The 14,419-nt window shown below is 52.3% G+C and overlaps 1 protein-coding gene across 3 annotated transcripts in view; it reads right to left on the bottom strand.

Moving 5' to 3' along the window:
- TNXB (tenascin XB) overlaps positions 1–13,816 on the bottom strand; it is a 68,186-nt gene extending 54,370 nt beyond the window's left edge. For all 3 annotated transcript variants that reach the window (NM_019105.8, NM_001365276.2, NM_001428335.1), the window contains exons 1-3: positions 13,659–13,816; positions 2,274–2,684; positions 89–1,927 (exon numbers count right to left, since the gene is read on the bottom strand). In NM_019105.8, coding sequence (NP_061978.6) covers positions 89–1,927; positions 2,274–2,676 — 2,242 coding nt within the window. In that variant the 5' untranslated portion in view covers positions 2,677–2,684; positions 13,659–13,816. The remainder of the gene's footprint in view (positions 1–88; positions 1,928–2,273; positions 2,685–13,658) is intronic.

Below are 14,419 nucleotides of genomic sequence, written 5' to 3' on the forward strand. Positions count from 1 at the left end.
CCACTCTTCCTCAGGCTCAGGTCTTCCCCATGGCTCCTGTTCACAGAATCACAGTCCCAGAGTACACTGGGGAAGGCTGCCTGCTCACCTTCTCCGCAGTCTTCGCCAGCATACCCATCTTTGCAGACACAGCTGCCATCGTGACACTCTCCTCGGCCACGGCAGTCCCCTGGGCATGTCTGGATGGCACAGTCAGGGCCTCGGAAGCCCTCTACACACACACACTGGCCTGCCCGGCACAGTTCCCGGGGCCCGCAGCCTCCAGGGCAGGCGCTGGCTGGAGGCTCTTCCTGCCCGCAGTCCTCACCGCCATAGCCCACGTGGCACAGGCACACTCCTTGCACACACCGCCCACGTCCCCGGCAGTCAGCCGGGCACATGCGGGTGGCACAGGTAGGGCCGGTGTAGCCTGGGTCGCACAGGCAGCGCCCTTCCTCACAGCGGCCCCTCCCGTGGCAGTTGGAGGGGCAGGTGCGGATGCTGCAGTCCTCACTCACGTAGCCTTCCCAACAGATGCACACACCGTCCTGGCACACGCCGTGCTGGCTGCAGTCATTCGGGCACTGCCTCACACCGCAATCCTCGCCAGAGTAGCCGTCCTCGCACACACACCGCCCATCTAGGCACTGGCCGCGGCCTCGGCAGCCCCCGGGGCAGCTGCGCGTGCTGCAGTCTTCCCCTGAGTAGCCTGCGTCACACACGCACACGCCATCCTCGCAAAGGCCGTGCCCACGGCAGTCCCCGGGACAGCGACGGCTCCCACAGTCCTCACCGGTGAAGCCCGGGTTGCACACGCAGCGGCCATCCACGCAGCGCCCGCGCCCGCGACAGTCGCCAGGACAGGCGCGCGTGCCGCAGTCCCGGCCTGTGTACCCCGGCCAACACATGCAGCGGCCACTCTCACAGCGGCCCCGGCCACGACAGTCCCCAGGACAGCTGCGCACACCGCAGTCCTCGCCGCTGTAGCCCGCATTGCAAACACACACGCCGTTCTCGCAGCGCCCGCGACCTCTACAGTCGCGTGGGCAGGCGCGCGAGCCGCAATCGGTTCCAGTGTACCCCGGCCAGCACACGCAGCGGCCGTCCTCGCAGCGGCCCCTTTGGTTGCAGTCGCCAGGGCAGCTGCGCACGCCGCAGTCGTCCCCGCTGTAGCCCGTGTCGCAAATGCATTCGCCGTCCTCGCAGCGCCCGCGGCCCCGGCAGTCCCTCGGACATGTCCGCGTGCTGCAGTCCTCGCCTGTGTACCCGGGCCAGCACACGCAGCGGCCGTCCACGCAGCGCCCGCCCTCGCCACAGTCCCAGGGGCAGCTCCGCGTACCACAGTCCTCGCCAGTGTAGCCGGGGTCACACACGCAGCGCCCGTCCTTGCAGCGTCCCCGCTGGCTGCAGCCCCGAGGGCAGCTCCTCACCCCACAGTCCTCGCCAGTGTAGCCGGGGTTACACACGCAGCGCCCATTCTCACAGCGCCCCCTCTGACTGCAACCGCGAGGGCAGCTCCTCATGCCACAGTCGTCACCAGTGTAGCCTGGGTCACACACGCAGCGCCCACCCTCACAGCGTCCCCTCTGGCTGCAACCTCGAGGGCAGGAGCGCTGGCTGCAGTCGGGGCCTGAGAAGCCTGCCCGGCACACACACACGCCCTGCACGCAGCGCCCACGGCCTTGGCAGTCCCCGGGACAGGATGGCCAGCCACAGCTGGGGCCAGTGTAGCCGGGAAAGCACACGCAACGACCACGGACACAGCGACCCTGATCATTGCAGTCATCTGGGCAGGACCCCGAGGCTGAGGGTGGGGAAGAGGGAGGGATCTCAGCATCTGTGGGGTCTGAGCAGGTGGGCCCACCCCAGCCTGGCTCACAGGAACAGGTGCAGCGGCTCAGATCAAACACACCATGGAGACTGCAGAGGGTCCGCACATCTGTCTGACCTGGAGTAGGAGGGGAGAGGCAAGTCTCAGTCTCTCTCCTGGGAGAGAGGCTGAGCCTATGTAGTGCTCCTATGTGCAGGCCCCTAGCCAGGCTAGCCTCATCTCATAAGGCCATGTCTGCTCCCAGTTGCTAGTATGTGTAATGTATGCAGCCTCTCAGGGCCCTCGCATATGCTTTGGTTGACATGTAGCCCAGCTCTGCTCTCCAAGTTGTGTTCTGGGCTGCATCCACACCCCTCATGGTGAGGAAGGAGTGCCTTCTTCTAATTCATACCAAGGACCTTTATGGACTAGCAATGCCCACCCCACCCCACCTCTCCACCCTCTTCTGTGATCACCTGCTCACCTGTGCCAGCTTGGGCAGAGGCAGGACAACATCCCCCAGTGCACTGTTCCTTGAGCCCCTTCACCAACTCCTCCAGGATCTCTAGACGGACCCTCAGGGCCTGTACCTCTGAAGCAAGGACTGGGGGCTCGGTGCCTGGGGGACAGCCACAGCCAGTGGAAGGGGGCAGGTTAATGCGGTGGGTGAATACCACCTGCTTCTCCCCTCCTTCCACTGTGTGCTCGTAAAGCTGAGAAGAGGGGCTTCCCACTCCAGCCCCCACTGTGTGGCCCCCTGGCTGGGGAGGGGGCCGGGGGGCTGGCAGTGTCACATTGGACCGTGAAGAGAAGGGGCCTGCTCTGGCTGTGCTCAGCAGCACCAGGAGAACCAGGCTGGAGGTTAGAGCATACTGGGCTGGCATCATTCAGGAGGCTGCAGGGAGAAAGGGTAGGTATGAGAGCAGCTTCAAAAAGGAGACAAAATGAATCCCCCCTTCTCCAGCACATACCCACGGTCCCACCACCCACAAGTAATCTACCCAACTCACATGCATGTAAAAATTCACATTCCGCCCAACCCTAAAGGATACCCTCCCTGGGCAAGTCTGTTCTCTACCTCTCTGATATCATTTATTTACCCTGCTCCTCACCCCCTTTTCTATTGTGTTCCCCTACACTGGTTTTTTTGTTTTGTTTTGTTTTGTTTTGTTTTGTTTGTTTGTTTGAGACGGAGTTTCACTCTTATTGCCCAGGCTGGAGTGCAGTGGTGCGATCTCAGCTCACCACAACCTCCGCCTCCCAGGTCCAAGCGATTCTCCTGCCTCAGCCTCCTGAGTAGCTGGGATTACAGGCATGCCCCACCATGCCTGGCTAATTTTGTACTTTTAGTAGAGACCGGGTTTCTCCATGTCGGTCAGGCTGGTCTCAGACTCCTAACCTCAGGTGATCTGCTCGCCTCAGCCTCCCAAAGTGCTGGGATTACAGGCATGAGCCACCGCACCCGGCTCTACACTGGTCTTTTGTTTTTCCCACGAGCACTACAAGCTCTCACTACTCCAAGGGCCTTTGCATTGTGTGTTCCCTATGTCTGGGATGCTCTTCACTCTGCTCATAAAGGCTGGCTCCATCTTCAAATCTTAACTCCCAGTTAGGGCAGTCTTCCATTACTCTCTATCACAATATCCTGTTCCTGTTCTTCATGGCATTTACTGCTGCCTGAGTTATCAGTTTACTTATTACCTTTCTCTCAATGCTACAATGGGAGCTCCTTGAGAACAAGGACCTCATCTATCCCAGGACTGCTGTATACTTGTGTCTGGCACATAAATGTTCTATCTGACACATCAATGTTGAATGAATTAGTGGATGAGTACCTAGGGCCAATCCTTCCCCAAACACCTGGATCCCAGCTCCTACTGTCTTCTAAGAAAAGTGCAGATTATCTTCTCCCTCTCTCTCTCACTTTTTTTTTTTTTTTTGAGATGGAATCTTACTCTGTCGCCCAGGCTGGAGTGCAGTGGTGCGATCTCGGCTCACTGCAACCTCTGTCTCCTAGCTCAAGTGATTTTCCTGCCTCGGCCTCCTGAGTAGCTGGGATTATAGGTGCCCACCTCCATGCCCAGCTAATTTTTGTATTTTTAGTAGAAATGAGGTTTCACCATGTAGGCAGGCTGGTCTCGAACTCCTGACCACAAGTGATGTGCCCGCCTTGGCCTCCCAAAGTGCTGGGATTACAGGCATGAGTCACCGCACGACCTCTTTCTAATATAGAGACAGGATCTTGCTCAACCCCCTGGTTGAAGCTGGACTTGAACTCCTGGGCTCAAGCCATCCTCCCACCTCAGCCTCCCAGGTAGCTGGGATTAAAAGCATGAGCCACCATGCTTGGCTTCTCTCTCTTTTTTATTCAACTCCTCACTCTCAACTGGATCCTTGCTCAAATATCTCCAATTGAAAAAAAAAAAACAAAAATCCTCTTCCTCAGGACTTACATGATCAAATATCAAGACTTATTTTAAAGGTGCAAGGATAGACAGATGAAACAGAATAGGGCCCAGAAACAGGCCCACACATATGTGGTCAACTAATTAACGACAAAAGTGCCCCTGCAGTTAAGAGGAGAAAGGATGGTCTTTTTAGTTCCTGGTGCTGGGTCAATCCAACATCCCTAAGTAAAAAAAAAAAAAAAAAAAAAAAACAGTCATTCTCCACCTTATGTCTGATATACCGAAATTAATTTGAGATGAACCCAGGACCTAAATAAGAAAAGTAAAGCAATATCTTTCATAGCAATATCTTACAGAAAATTTCTGACCTTGGAGTAAGCAAGATTTCTTTTTTTTTTTTTTTAAGACTGAGTCTTGCTCTGTCGCCCAGAGTGGAGTACACTGGTGCTATCTCGGCTCACTGCAACCTCCGTCTCCCAGGTTCAAGTGATTCTCCTACCTCAGCCTCCTGAGTAGCGGGGATTACAGGCATCTGCTCCCACACCCAGCTATTTTTTGTATTTTTAGTAGAGACGGGGCTTCACTATGTTGGCCAGGCTGGTCTCAAACTCCTGAACTCAGGCAATCCGCCCGCCTCGGCTTCCCAAAGTGCTAGGATTACAGGCTTGAGTCACTGCACCCAGCCGCAAGATTTCTTAAGTAAAACACACACAAAACCTAACCATAGGCCGGGTGCAGTGGCTCGTATCTGTAATCCCAGCACTTCAGGAGGCTTAAGTGTGAGGATTGCATGAGCCCAGGAGTTGGAGACCAGCCTGGGTAAGATAGTGAGACTCTGTCTCTACAAAAAACAAAAAGAATTCACTGGGCGTGGTGGTACACCTGTAGTCCCAGCTACTCAGGGGCTGAGGTGGGAGGATTACTTGAGTCTGGGAGGTCGAGGCTGTGGTGAGCTGTGATCATGCCACTGCACTCCAGCCTGGGCAACAGAGCTGATACTCTGTTTCAAAAAAAAGAAAAAGAAAAAAACAAAACAAAATTTCAGGTCATCAAATTACATCATTAAGAGAATAAGAAGGCAGCTGGGTGTGGTGGTTCACACCTGAAATCCCAGCACTTTGGGAGGCTGAAGTGGGCGGATCATGAGGTCAAGAGTTCAAGACCAGCCTGGCCAACATGGTGAAACCCCATCTCTACTAAAAATACAAAAATTAGCTGGGCGTGGTAGCGGGCACCTGTAGTCCCAGCTACTCGGGAGGCTGAGGAGGAGAATCGCTTGAAACTGGAGGCGGAGGTTGCAGTGAGCTGAGATCATGCCACTTCACTTCAGCCTGAGAGGAAGAGTGAAACTCCATCTCAAAAAAAAAAAAAAAAAAAAAAAAATCTCTGCAAAACAAAATAAGCCAAAATCAGGAAACCTAGTTTTTTAAATTGTCAAAAGACAAACAGGTACTCCAGAAAAGAATATAGCCAAAGAGCCAATAAACATTTTATTTATTTTACCTGGGCTCAAGTGATTCTCCTACCTCAGCCTCTGGAGTAGCTAGGATACAGGCATGCGCCACATGCCCAGCTCATTTTTTTTGTAGAGATGGAGTCTTGCTCTTTCGCCCAGGCTGGAGTGCAGTGGTGCGTCTTGGCTCACTGCAAGCTCTGCCTACCAGGTTCATGCCATTCTCCTGCCTCAGCCTCCTGAGTAGCTGGGACTACAGGCGCCCACCACCATACTTGGCTCATTTTTTTGTATTTTTAGTAGAGATGAGGTTTCACCGTGTTAGCCAGGATGGTCTCGATCTCCTGACCTCGTGATCCGCCCACCTTGGCCTCCCACAGTGCTGGGATTACAGGCGTGAGCCACCGCACCCAGCCTTTTTTTTTTTTTTTTTTTTAGTAGAGACAGGGTTTCACCAAGTTGGCCAGGCTGGTCTCAAACTCCTGACCTCAAGTGATCTGCCTTGGCCTCCCAAAGTTATTAGGATTACAGGCATGGGCCACCACACCCACCCTATTTCATTTTATTTTAAGATAAACTCTACCTCTGTCACCCAGGCTGAAGCACAGTGGCACAATCACAGCTCACTGCAGCCTCAAACTCCTGGGCTCAAGTGATCCTCCTGCCTCAGCCTCCAGAGTAGCTGGAACTACAGATGGGCATCACCATGCCTGGCTAATTTTTAAATTTTTTGTAGAGATGGGATCTTGCTGTGTTGCCCAGGCTGGCCTTGAACTCCTGGCCTCAAGCAATCCTCCTGCCTCACCCTCCACAGTAGTTGGGCTTACAGGTGTGAGCCACTGCACCCAGATCCAAGGAGCATTTTAAAAGATGCACAAAATCACTAGTTATCGGGTAAATGTACGTTAAAACCACAATAAGATGCCACTAAATATCCTCCAGAATGCTTGTCCCTCTTCAAAGAGGCTGTCATTGCTTGATATTGGCAAGAATGTGAAGCAGCTGGAATTGTCATCTGTTGCAAGTGGGAGCATATATTAATGCAAACACTGGAAAGTTGTTTGGTAGTATCTGCTAAAACATATAGTCTATAACCCAGATATCTATAACTAAATATCCGGTGGGAATGACTGCATAGTTCTTCCAAAAGACGTAGACCATAATGTTCATGAGATTTATTCCTATATTAGCTAAAACTGAAAGCAACTCAAGTGTCCATTCATAAAGTGGATAAATAAATTGTGCCAGAGTCATACAATGGAATACTATACAGCAATAAAAAACACCCTATTGCTACATGCAACATGGGTGAATTTCACACACATAGTGCTGAGTAAAAAATATCACACACAGAAAGAGAATGCTCTTATACTCTTATATACCCTTCCTGAGCTACCAAAAAAAGAAAAAAGAAAAAAGAAAACACTCTGAATAATGCCGTTTATATGAGGTTCAAAAACAGGCAGAGGCTGGGTGCAGTGGCTCATGCCTGTAATCCCGGCACTTTGGGAAGCCGAGGCGGGCGGATCACGAGGTCAAGAGATGGAGACCATCCTGGCCAACACGGTGAAACCCTGTCTCTACTAAAAATACAAAAATTAGCTGGGCATGGTGGCACACACCTGTAGTCCCAGCTACCTGGGAGGCTAAGGCAAAAGAATTGCTTGAATCCCAGAGGCGGAGGTTGCAGTGAACCAAGATAATGCCACTGCACTCCAGCCTGGCAACAGATCAAGACTCTATGTCAAAAAACAAACAAAAAAACAAACAAAAACAGGCAGAGTTAATCTTTGCTTTTAGAAGATAGGATCAGATTACTTGTAGGGATTATTGACCGGAAGGAGTCATATTTCTGGAAATATTTTGTATCTTAATCTGGGTGGTTACATAGATATATACATATTCAAAAACTCATTGAGCTGCACACTTAAGACTTTGGCATTTTGCTGTATAAAAATTGAACCATGGCTGGGTGTGGTGGCTCATGCCTGTAATCTCAGTACTTTGGGAGGCCAAGGTAGGCGGATCACTTGAGGTCAGGAGTTCAAAACCAGCCTGGCGATCATGCTGAAACCCCGTCTCTACTAAAAATAAAAAATAAAAAAAAATTAGCTGGGCATGGTGGCAGGTGCCTGTAATCCCAGCTACTTGGGAGGCTGAGGCGGGAGAATCGCTTGAACCTGGGAGGCAAAGGTTGCAGTGAGTTGAGATTGTGCCACTGCACTCCAGCCTGGGCAACAGAGCGAGACTCCATCTCAAAAAAAAAAAAAAATGAAACCTTAAAAAACCTATCCCCAATCTCACACCCCCTCCAGCCACCACATATTTCTCTCCTCTACTTCATGGCCACAGTTGTCAAAATTTATTTGTATTTGATGTTTACATTTCCTTATAGCCTATGCATGCCTCAATCCACTCTACTCCCTCCAACCCACCAAACAGCTCCCTCTAGGGCTTCCCAATGACTTCGGTGCCACAAAATCTAAGGGACATTTGTCTTCATCTTGCTTGACCTTTGACTTCTCTCAAAATCACTAGACACAGTTCACCGCATCTTTTTTTTTTTTTTTTTTTTTGAGATGGAGTCTCACTCTGTCGCCCAGGCTGGAGTGCAGTGGCACGATCTTGGCTCAATGCAACCTCTGCCTCCTGGGGTTCAAGTGATTCTCCTGCCTCAGCCTCCCGAGTAGCTGGGACTACAGGCACCCGCTACCACACCTAGCTAATTTTTTATTTTTAGTAGAGACGAGGTTTCACCATCTTGACCAGGCTGGTCTTGAGCTCCTCAGCTCAGGTGATCTGCCCACCTCGGCCTCCCAAAGTGCTGGGGTTACAGGCATGAGCCACCACACCTGGCCCTTCTCTTTTAAAACATTCTGTATCCACGCTGACCAATATGGTAGCCAGGAGGGATATGAGGCTCTGCAACACTTGAGATGTGACCAGAACGACCAAGTAAGTGAATTTTACTCAGTATTTTTAAAAGCTCCCCAGATGATTGTAATGTGCAACAAATTTCTACTAAATTAATAGACCTACTGCTCTAGTCATCCACCTGGTACCTTCATCCAGACTTATAACTTCAATTTCCAAACTATACACCAATTTGTAAAACACCCCAGTCATCTTCCTCTCGCTCCACAGCAATATATCCACCTGCCTACTTGGCATCTCCACTTGGGCACCTCAAATTCACCATGCCTGTAACCTGAACTCACGGTCACCTTCCTGTATCCCATCCCCTCCCAGAATTCCCCATTGAAGCTCAGGACCCCACCATTCATCCAGCTTTACAAGCCAGAAACCTAATAGCCCATTCAAGGCTACCATATTTCCTTGTATCTACCTGTATTTTCTCATAAACATCTCTTTAATTCATTTCCTTCTCTCCCACTTACCTTCATTCTAATCCAAGCTTCCATCCGCCTCTTGCCTGACAACTGCAATTGCCTCCTGGCTGCTTTTTTTTTCTTTTTTTTTGAGACAGGGTCTCACTCTGTCACCTAGGCTGGTGTGCAGTGGTGCGATCATAGCTCGCTGCAGCATTGACCTCCTGTTGCTCAAGCAATCCTCCCACCTCAGCCTCCTGAGTAGTTGGGACTACAGGTGTGTGCCATCACGCTCAGCTAATTTTTAATTTTTTTTGCAAAGACAGGATCTTTCTATGTTGCTCGGGCTGGCCTTGAACTCTTGGACTCAAGCAATCCTCCCACCCTAGCCTCCCAATGTGCTGGGATTACAGGCGTGAGCCACTGTGTCCAGCCCTGACCCTTCCCTCTGCTTCCACTCTTGCCCTCTACAGTCTCACAAACGCAATCAGGATGTCCCTATCCTCAAAATGCTTCAGTGTCTCCCTTCCAAATTCTCTTAGAACACTGACAAACAGCCCTACCATCATGTATCCCCTGCTCCCACTTCACCACCCATAACATTTCCCTCCCTCCCTCCATTCCAGCTCCACTGACCTTCAAGTCCCTCATACTCTCTGTGCCCATCCCCAACCCCAGATCTTTGTATACTCTGTTCCATCCGTGTGGAACACTGTTCCCTTCTCTCTTGGCCTTCTCATCCTTCAGGTCTCAGCCCGCCATTTTTTTCACAGGGAAGTTTTCCTGACCAGGTCAGGTCCTCCTATCATGTGATATCACAGCATCATGCCATTCTCATGTGTAGCGTTTATAACAATTTGCAATCATATATAAACAAATATTTTTTTGAAGTCCAAAGTAATAATAAATATACTGTGAGATTATTTTATTACTTTCTTGCCCACTAGACTATAAAGTCCATGAGGGCAGGCATGGCACCTATTTTTTTTTCTTGGCTGCTGTATCCCTGCATCTGGCACATAACTGGTGCTCAATAAATATTTACCGACTATATGAATGAATGAAAAGTTCAATGTAAACGCAGGACTAGCATTAAGGCTGGAACCAAGGGCAGGACCAAGGTCAGGGCTAGGACCACGGACAGTGTCTGGGACTGGAAGTTGGTTAGACACAGCCACCAGGGCTGAGGCAGAATCAGAGGCCAGGCCAGGGAAGATCCTGGCAGGACCAGATGGTACAAGCACTTTGGAAAACTGTTTGACAGAATCTACTAAATGTACTAAAGGTGAACACATGCAAACCCTATGACCCCGCAATTCCACTCCTAGGAATATACCCAACATAGCTCATAATAGCCCCAAACTGGGAACTACTCAAACATTTCACATCAGTAGAATAAATAAATTGTGGTTTATTCACACCGTGGAATAAAATAAAGCAGGAATGAACTATAGTTATATGCAGTAGTGTGATGGATCTTACTAAGATGATGTTGAACAAAAGCCAGACACAGGAAAGAGCATGCTGCACAGTTCTATTTATGTGAAGTTTGAGGAGAGGCAACATTAATCTGTAGTGCTCCAAGTCAGAAGTGTGATACTCTTGAGGGGGTAGTGACTAGTAGGGGCATGGGGGGGGGGGCTTCTGGGGTGCTAAAGGTGTCTTGTTTCTTGATCTGGATGACGGTTACCCAGTTGTATGTGTTTGTGGAGTTTACTGAGGCAGGGATTGGGGAGCACACAGAGACAAGAGGTGGGAGGAAAGGTGGTAGGGGGGTCCCAGGATAAGACAGGAGACAGGGCTATGGCAAACCTGAGTGTGAGGGGGCCAGTCAGGATTCAGCTAGGGTGAAGAGTTGAGGAGAGATGTTGAAAGGTGCCCAGCTCTTCCAGACCAGAGGCTGGGGAAAGGAGGAGGGCAGGGTGGGTGTGGAAATGCTGACCGGTGAGGAGTGGGGGATGTGTCACTGGTAGGCGGAGGTGACTGTGACACACACACACCTCCACCCAACACGCACACATCTTCTGGCTTTCTACTCTTAAACTTTTCTCCTGGATCAGAGAAAAAGGAGTAATTGGGGCTACCAGCCATCACATTCTGCTACCAGCCAGCAAGAGACGGAAAGGGAGCTGAACAGGGACAGAGTGTTTCCACACCAAGAGGCTCCCCACCCAAGAAAGCCCAGGCCGAGAGGCCTGGCATACAGAGAGCTGCCCTTTCCTGTCTCCCCAGCCCTTCTCTCAGCCTGGAGTGTAGCCTTGGGTAAGAGATGGGCTCTGACCGACCCTCAAATCCTGTCACTTTGTGTCTAAGGCCATGCTAATCACTCCCACACCCTGGGAATGCTTGCACAAAGATGTGTACACATGTACACTTACAAATATATTAATGTGTGCTCATCCACAAGTACAAACATACCTGCACAGACACACAAATCCACCCCCAAAACCTGCATCCTTGTAGGTACACATATGGGTGCCCATGCACACACGTGCACACACACCCAATCTCCCCTTCAGGTTTCCTCCACACCTAGTCATTGGGTGATGCCTAAGAAGGCTGATTTCTTGTTGGCTCCGAGGGCAGCTCTGTGAGTGAAAGAACCTGGATGGTGTGAGAGGAACAAAGCAGGAGGCCCTTCCCAGTGGGAAGCAGCGGACACATGGCCTCCACCATACTTCCCCGTACCCCTGGAGGCCTCTGTGAGTTGTCCAGTGCCCCTCCCCAAATAAGTGGATTCCTCATCTTTCCCTGCACAGTGGGGGAAAGCAGAGAGGGTCTTTGCACCAGGAAGGAGTGAAGAGAGCTCACCAGCTTTTCTGGAAAGCTGGTGAGATTGGTCTAGAAGAGCAGAGCAGCCTCCATTGACCACACACCCAGAGGCTCCTTCCCAATCTCCCTCCCTGCCCTGTTGCCACCACCCAGCCCTCCAGCTCCCCATTCCAGCTCCTGGGATAATTCTGCTCTTCTCTCGGTACTGGGCAAGCAAAGAATTGGGTGTCTCTTGTGTCTCCCCTTCACCATTCCCCCTGCCACTATGTCTGGGGTGGTTCTCTGTAGTGTGTGTTTGGAGAGAGATATGGCCTCACCCTCTTGGCACCCTCCCCACAGTTGGAGGGCTGGCAGGGATGGGGGCATCTTCCCAAACTGTGACTCAGCTTCCTGGGTATTTTGTGTTGTAGCCAACTTTGACACTTTGCTCATTAGGGACTGTATAGGTCCCAAGGGGTGGGGAGAGGGGCTGGCTTCCATAAAAGATGTTCCACAGATGGGGGTTCTGGTCCTGCCCCCATGCCTCCCTCTGACCCTCCTGCTACACCCTCAGTTGAATCTGGCAATGAGAGGTGAAGGTAGAAGGATTCTAGGAGTGAGACTAAAAAGGGAATGTGGGGGTCTCAGATATTGGGCTGGAACCAGGTAGGAAGGAGGTGTCAGGGAGGGGTAGGTTGGGGAATCCAGATACCCCTTATTCTGGGGAGCTAATCGGCCTGGGAATGGAAAAATTAAGAGAAAGGATTTCCAGGCCCCAGCTGAAAATGGTTAGGGGTGCAATGAGAGACAGGAAGGCAGTTTCTGGTCCTGCACCTAGTGGCTAGGTCTGGAGTGAGCAAAGGAAGTTTGAGGAATTGAGGTGCTGGGTCCCCAGGGACTTGAAGGCAGGGTCAGGGAAAAGAGGAGGGGCTGGAGATGCGGGAAGCAGGGGCAGGGCAGGCAGCAGCTGTGGTGTTTCCGAGTTGCTTCCCAGTAGTTCCTCTCAGTTCCACTTCCAGTTGTTTCTATGCCATTAAATTCTTTCCAGGCGAGATAAGGGGCCCGCCCTTCCCACCCGGGGCGTGTCACGTGTACTGGTGGTGGGGGGCGGGGGCGGCGAGGTGAGGGAGAGTGCGGGTTCAGACAGACAGAGGCAAGGGGAGCCTGGAAGGGGCACAGAGTGAAGACGGAGCCCCTGTGCCCCCAGAGGCATCTCTCAGCCATCCCAGCCCTGCTGAACCGTGAGTCATGAGTGCAGAGCTCTGGCCAAGAACAAGTTTTAGGATCCTCTCTGCAGGCTCTGTGCACGTCCCAGACCCGAGTCCTGACTGTCCCATTTCAGTATTTCCTAAAGAGATCTCCCAGACCTCCCTCCCTGCAACTCTCACGCTGCCACCTAGGGAGTCCCCATTTGGATGCCCAAAGAAGCACCCTCTGGCACCTCCTGGAGCCTGGAGCCCCCAGAGCCTGGGCTCAGCTGCTCTAGCCCGACATTTGGGATTCCGCAAGCACTTTCCTTCCAAGGTTCAGCTGGCCACCAGTTCAGCCTAGTCCTATCTTCCCGCTAGCCCCAGCACCTCCAGGGCCCAGGGGCTCACCTCACCAATAACCACCTCTACCCTGGTTCCACCATCTGACTCCCGGAGTCCCTCGGTTTGTTCCCAGCCCCTCTCAGTTGTCTGCATCCCATCCAAACCCTGACACATACTGCCCACCCCAACACACACATACCACCCTCTCCTCCCAGACACTCCTTCACAGGGAGCCTGGTTCCCAGCGAATGCTCCTATGTCCTCTGTCCTGAACAGAAGTCCTTGCTCTGGAAGCACTGCTGAGAGCTCACCTGCCACACCTTCACCTGGGGCATGGGGATAGGCGAGAAATCCCTTGCCTCTCCTTCTGGGTCTCCCCAGAACTCTGTTCCTTACCTGGGCAACCGAGCAGCTGCAGTGCCTCTGCACCTGCTCTGTCCCCAACCCCGGGAGGGCGGCGTCTCAGGGCAGGACAGGGAAGTCTCCCTCACTTGTCCCCTGCAACAGGGGCTGAGCCACAACCGACTGTGGATCTCGGCAGCGACAGTGAGGAGGGAGTCTGCAGCGAGCAGGGGAGGAGAAGGGGAGGACCAGGATGAGGTCAGGGAGGGGAGCGGAGATAGGGCAGGTCCTCCCACCCCTCCCAGGCCCTCCCACATGCCACCCCTCCTCTTCTCCTGCCCCCACCCCAGCCCCCACTCCCTGTCTAGCATCACTGTCTCACCATACCCTCATCTCAACCCCCAGCCCCGGTCTTACCTCCCACGTCCTTTCCCTATGCCATTTTTAGCTCACCCTAATTTTTGCCCAACTTGACACCCCCCACCCTTCCTGCCATTTCTTTTTTCCCCACCATTTCTCCACCTGCTGCCCCTCCTCTCTGACCCCAGTGGTTTCCTCTCAGCCTATATCCTTCCTCATGGCCAGCCCCCTTCCCCTCCCTCCCCCATGCTCCTCTCCCATCTCTTCCCAGCCACTGCTCTAGCTTGGATCTCTGGATCGCACCCCATGTCTATCACCCAGTGCTGGCTCCCTCATCCTCTCACCAGTTCTCCCCTGGCAGTCTGGGGCAGGGAGCAGGGGCAGAGGGCAGGAGGCAAGAGGCAACCTCTTTCTCCAACTGGGACCGTCTCTGGGACCCCAAGTCCCCACCCTGC

This window comes from Homo sapiens, chromosome 6, assembly GCF_000001405.40.
Source record: "Homo sapiens chromosome 6, GRCh38.p14 Primary Assembly".
NCBI classification, from domain to species: domain Eukaryota; kingdom Metazoa; phylum Chordata; class Mammalia; order Primates; family Hominidae; genus Homo; species Homo sapiens.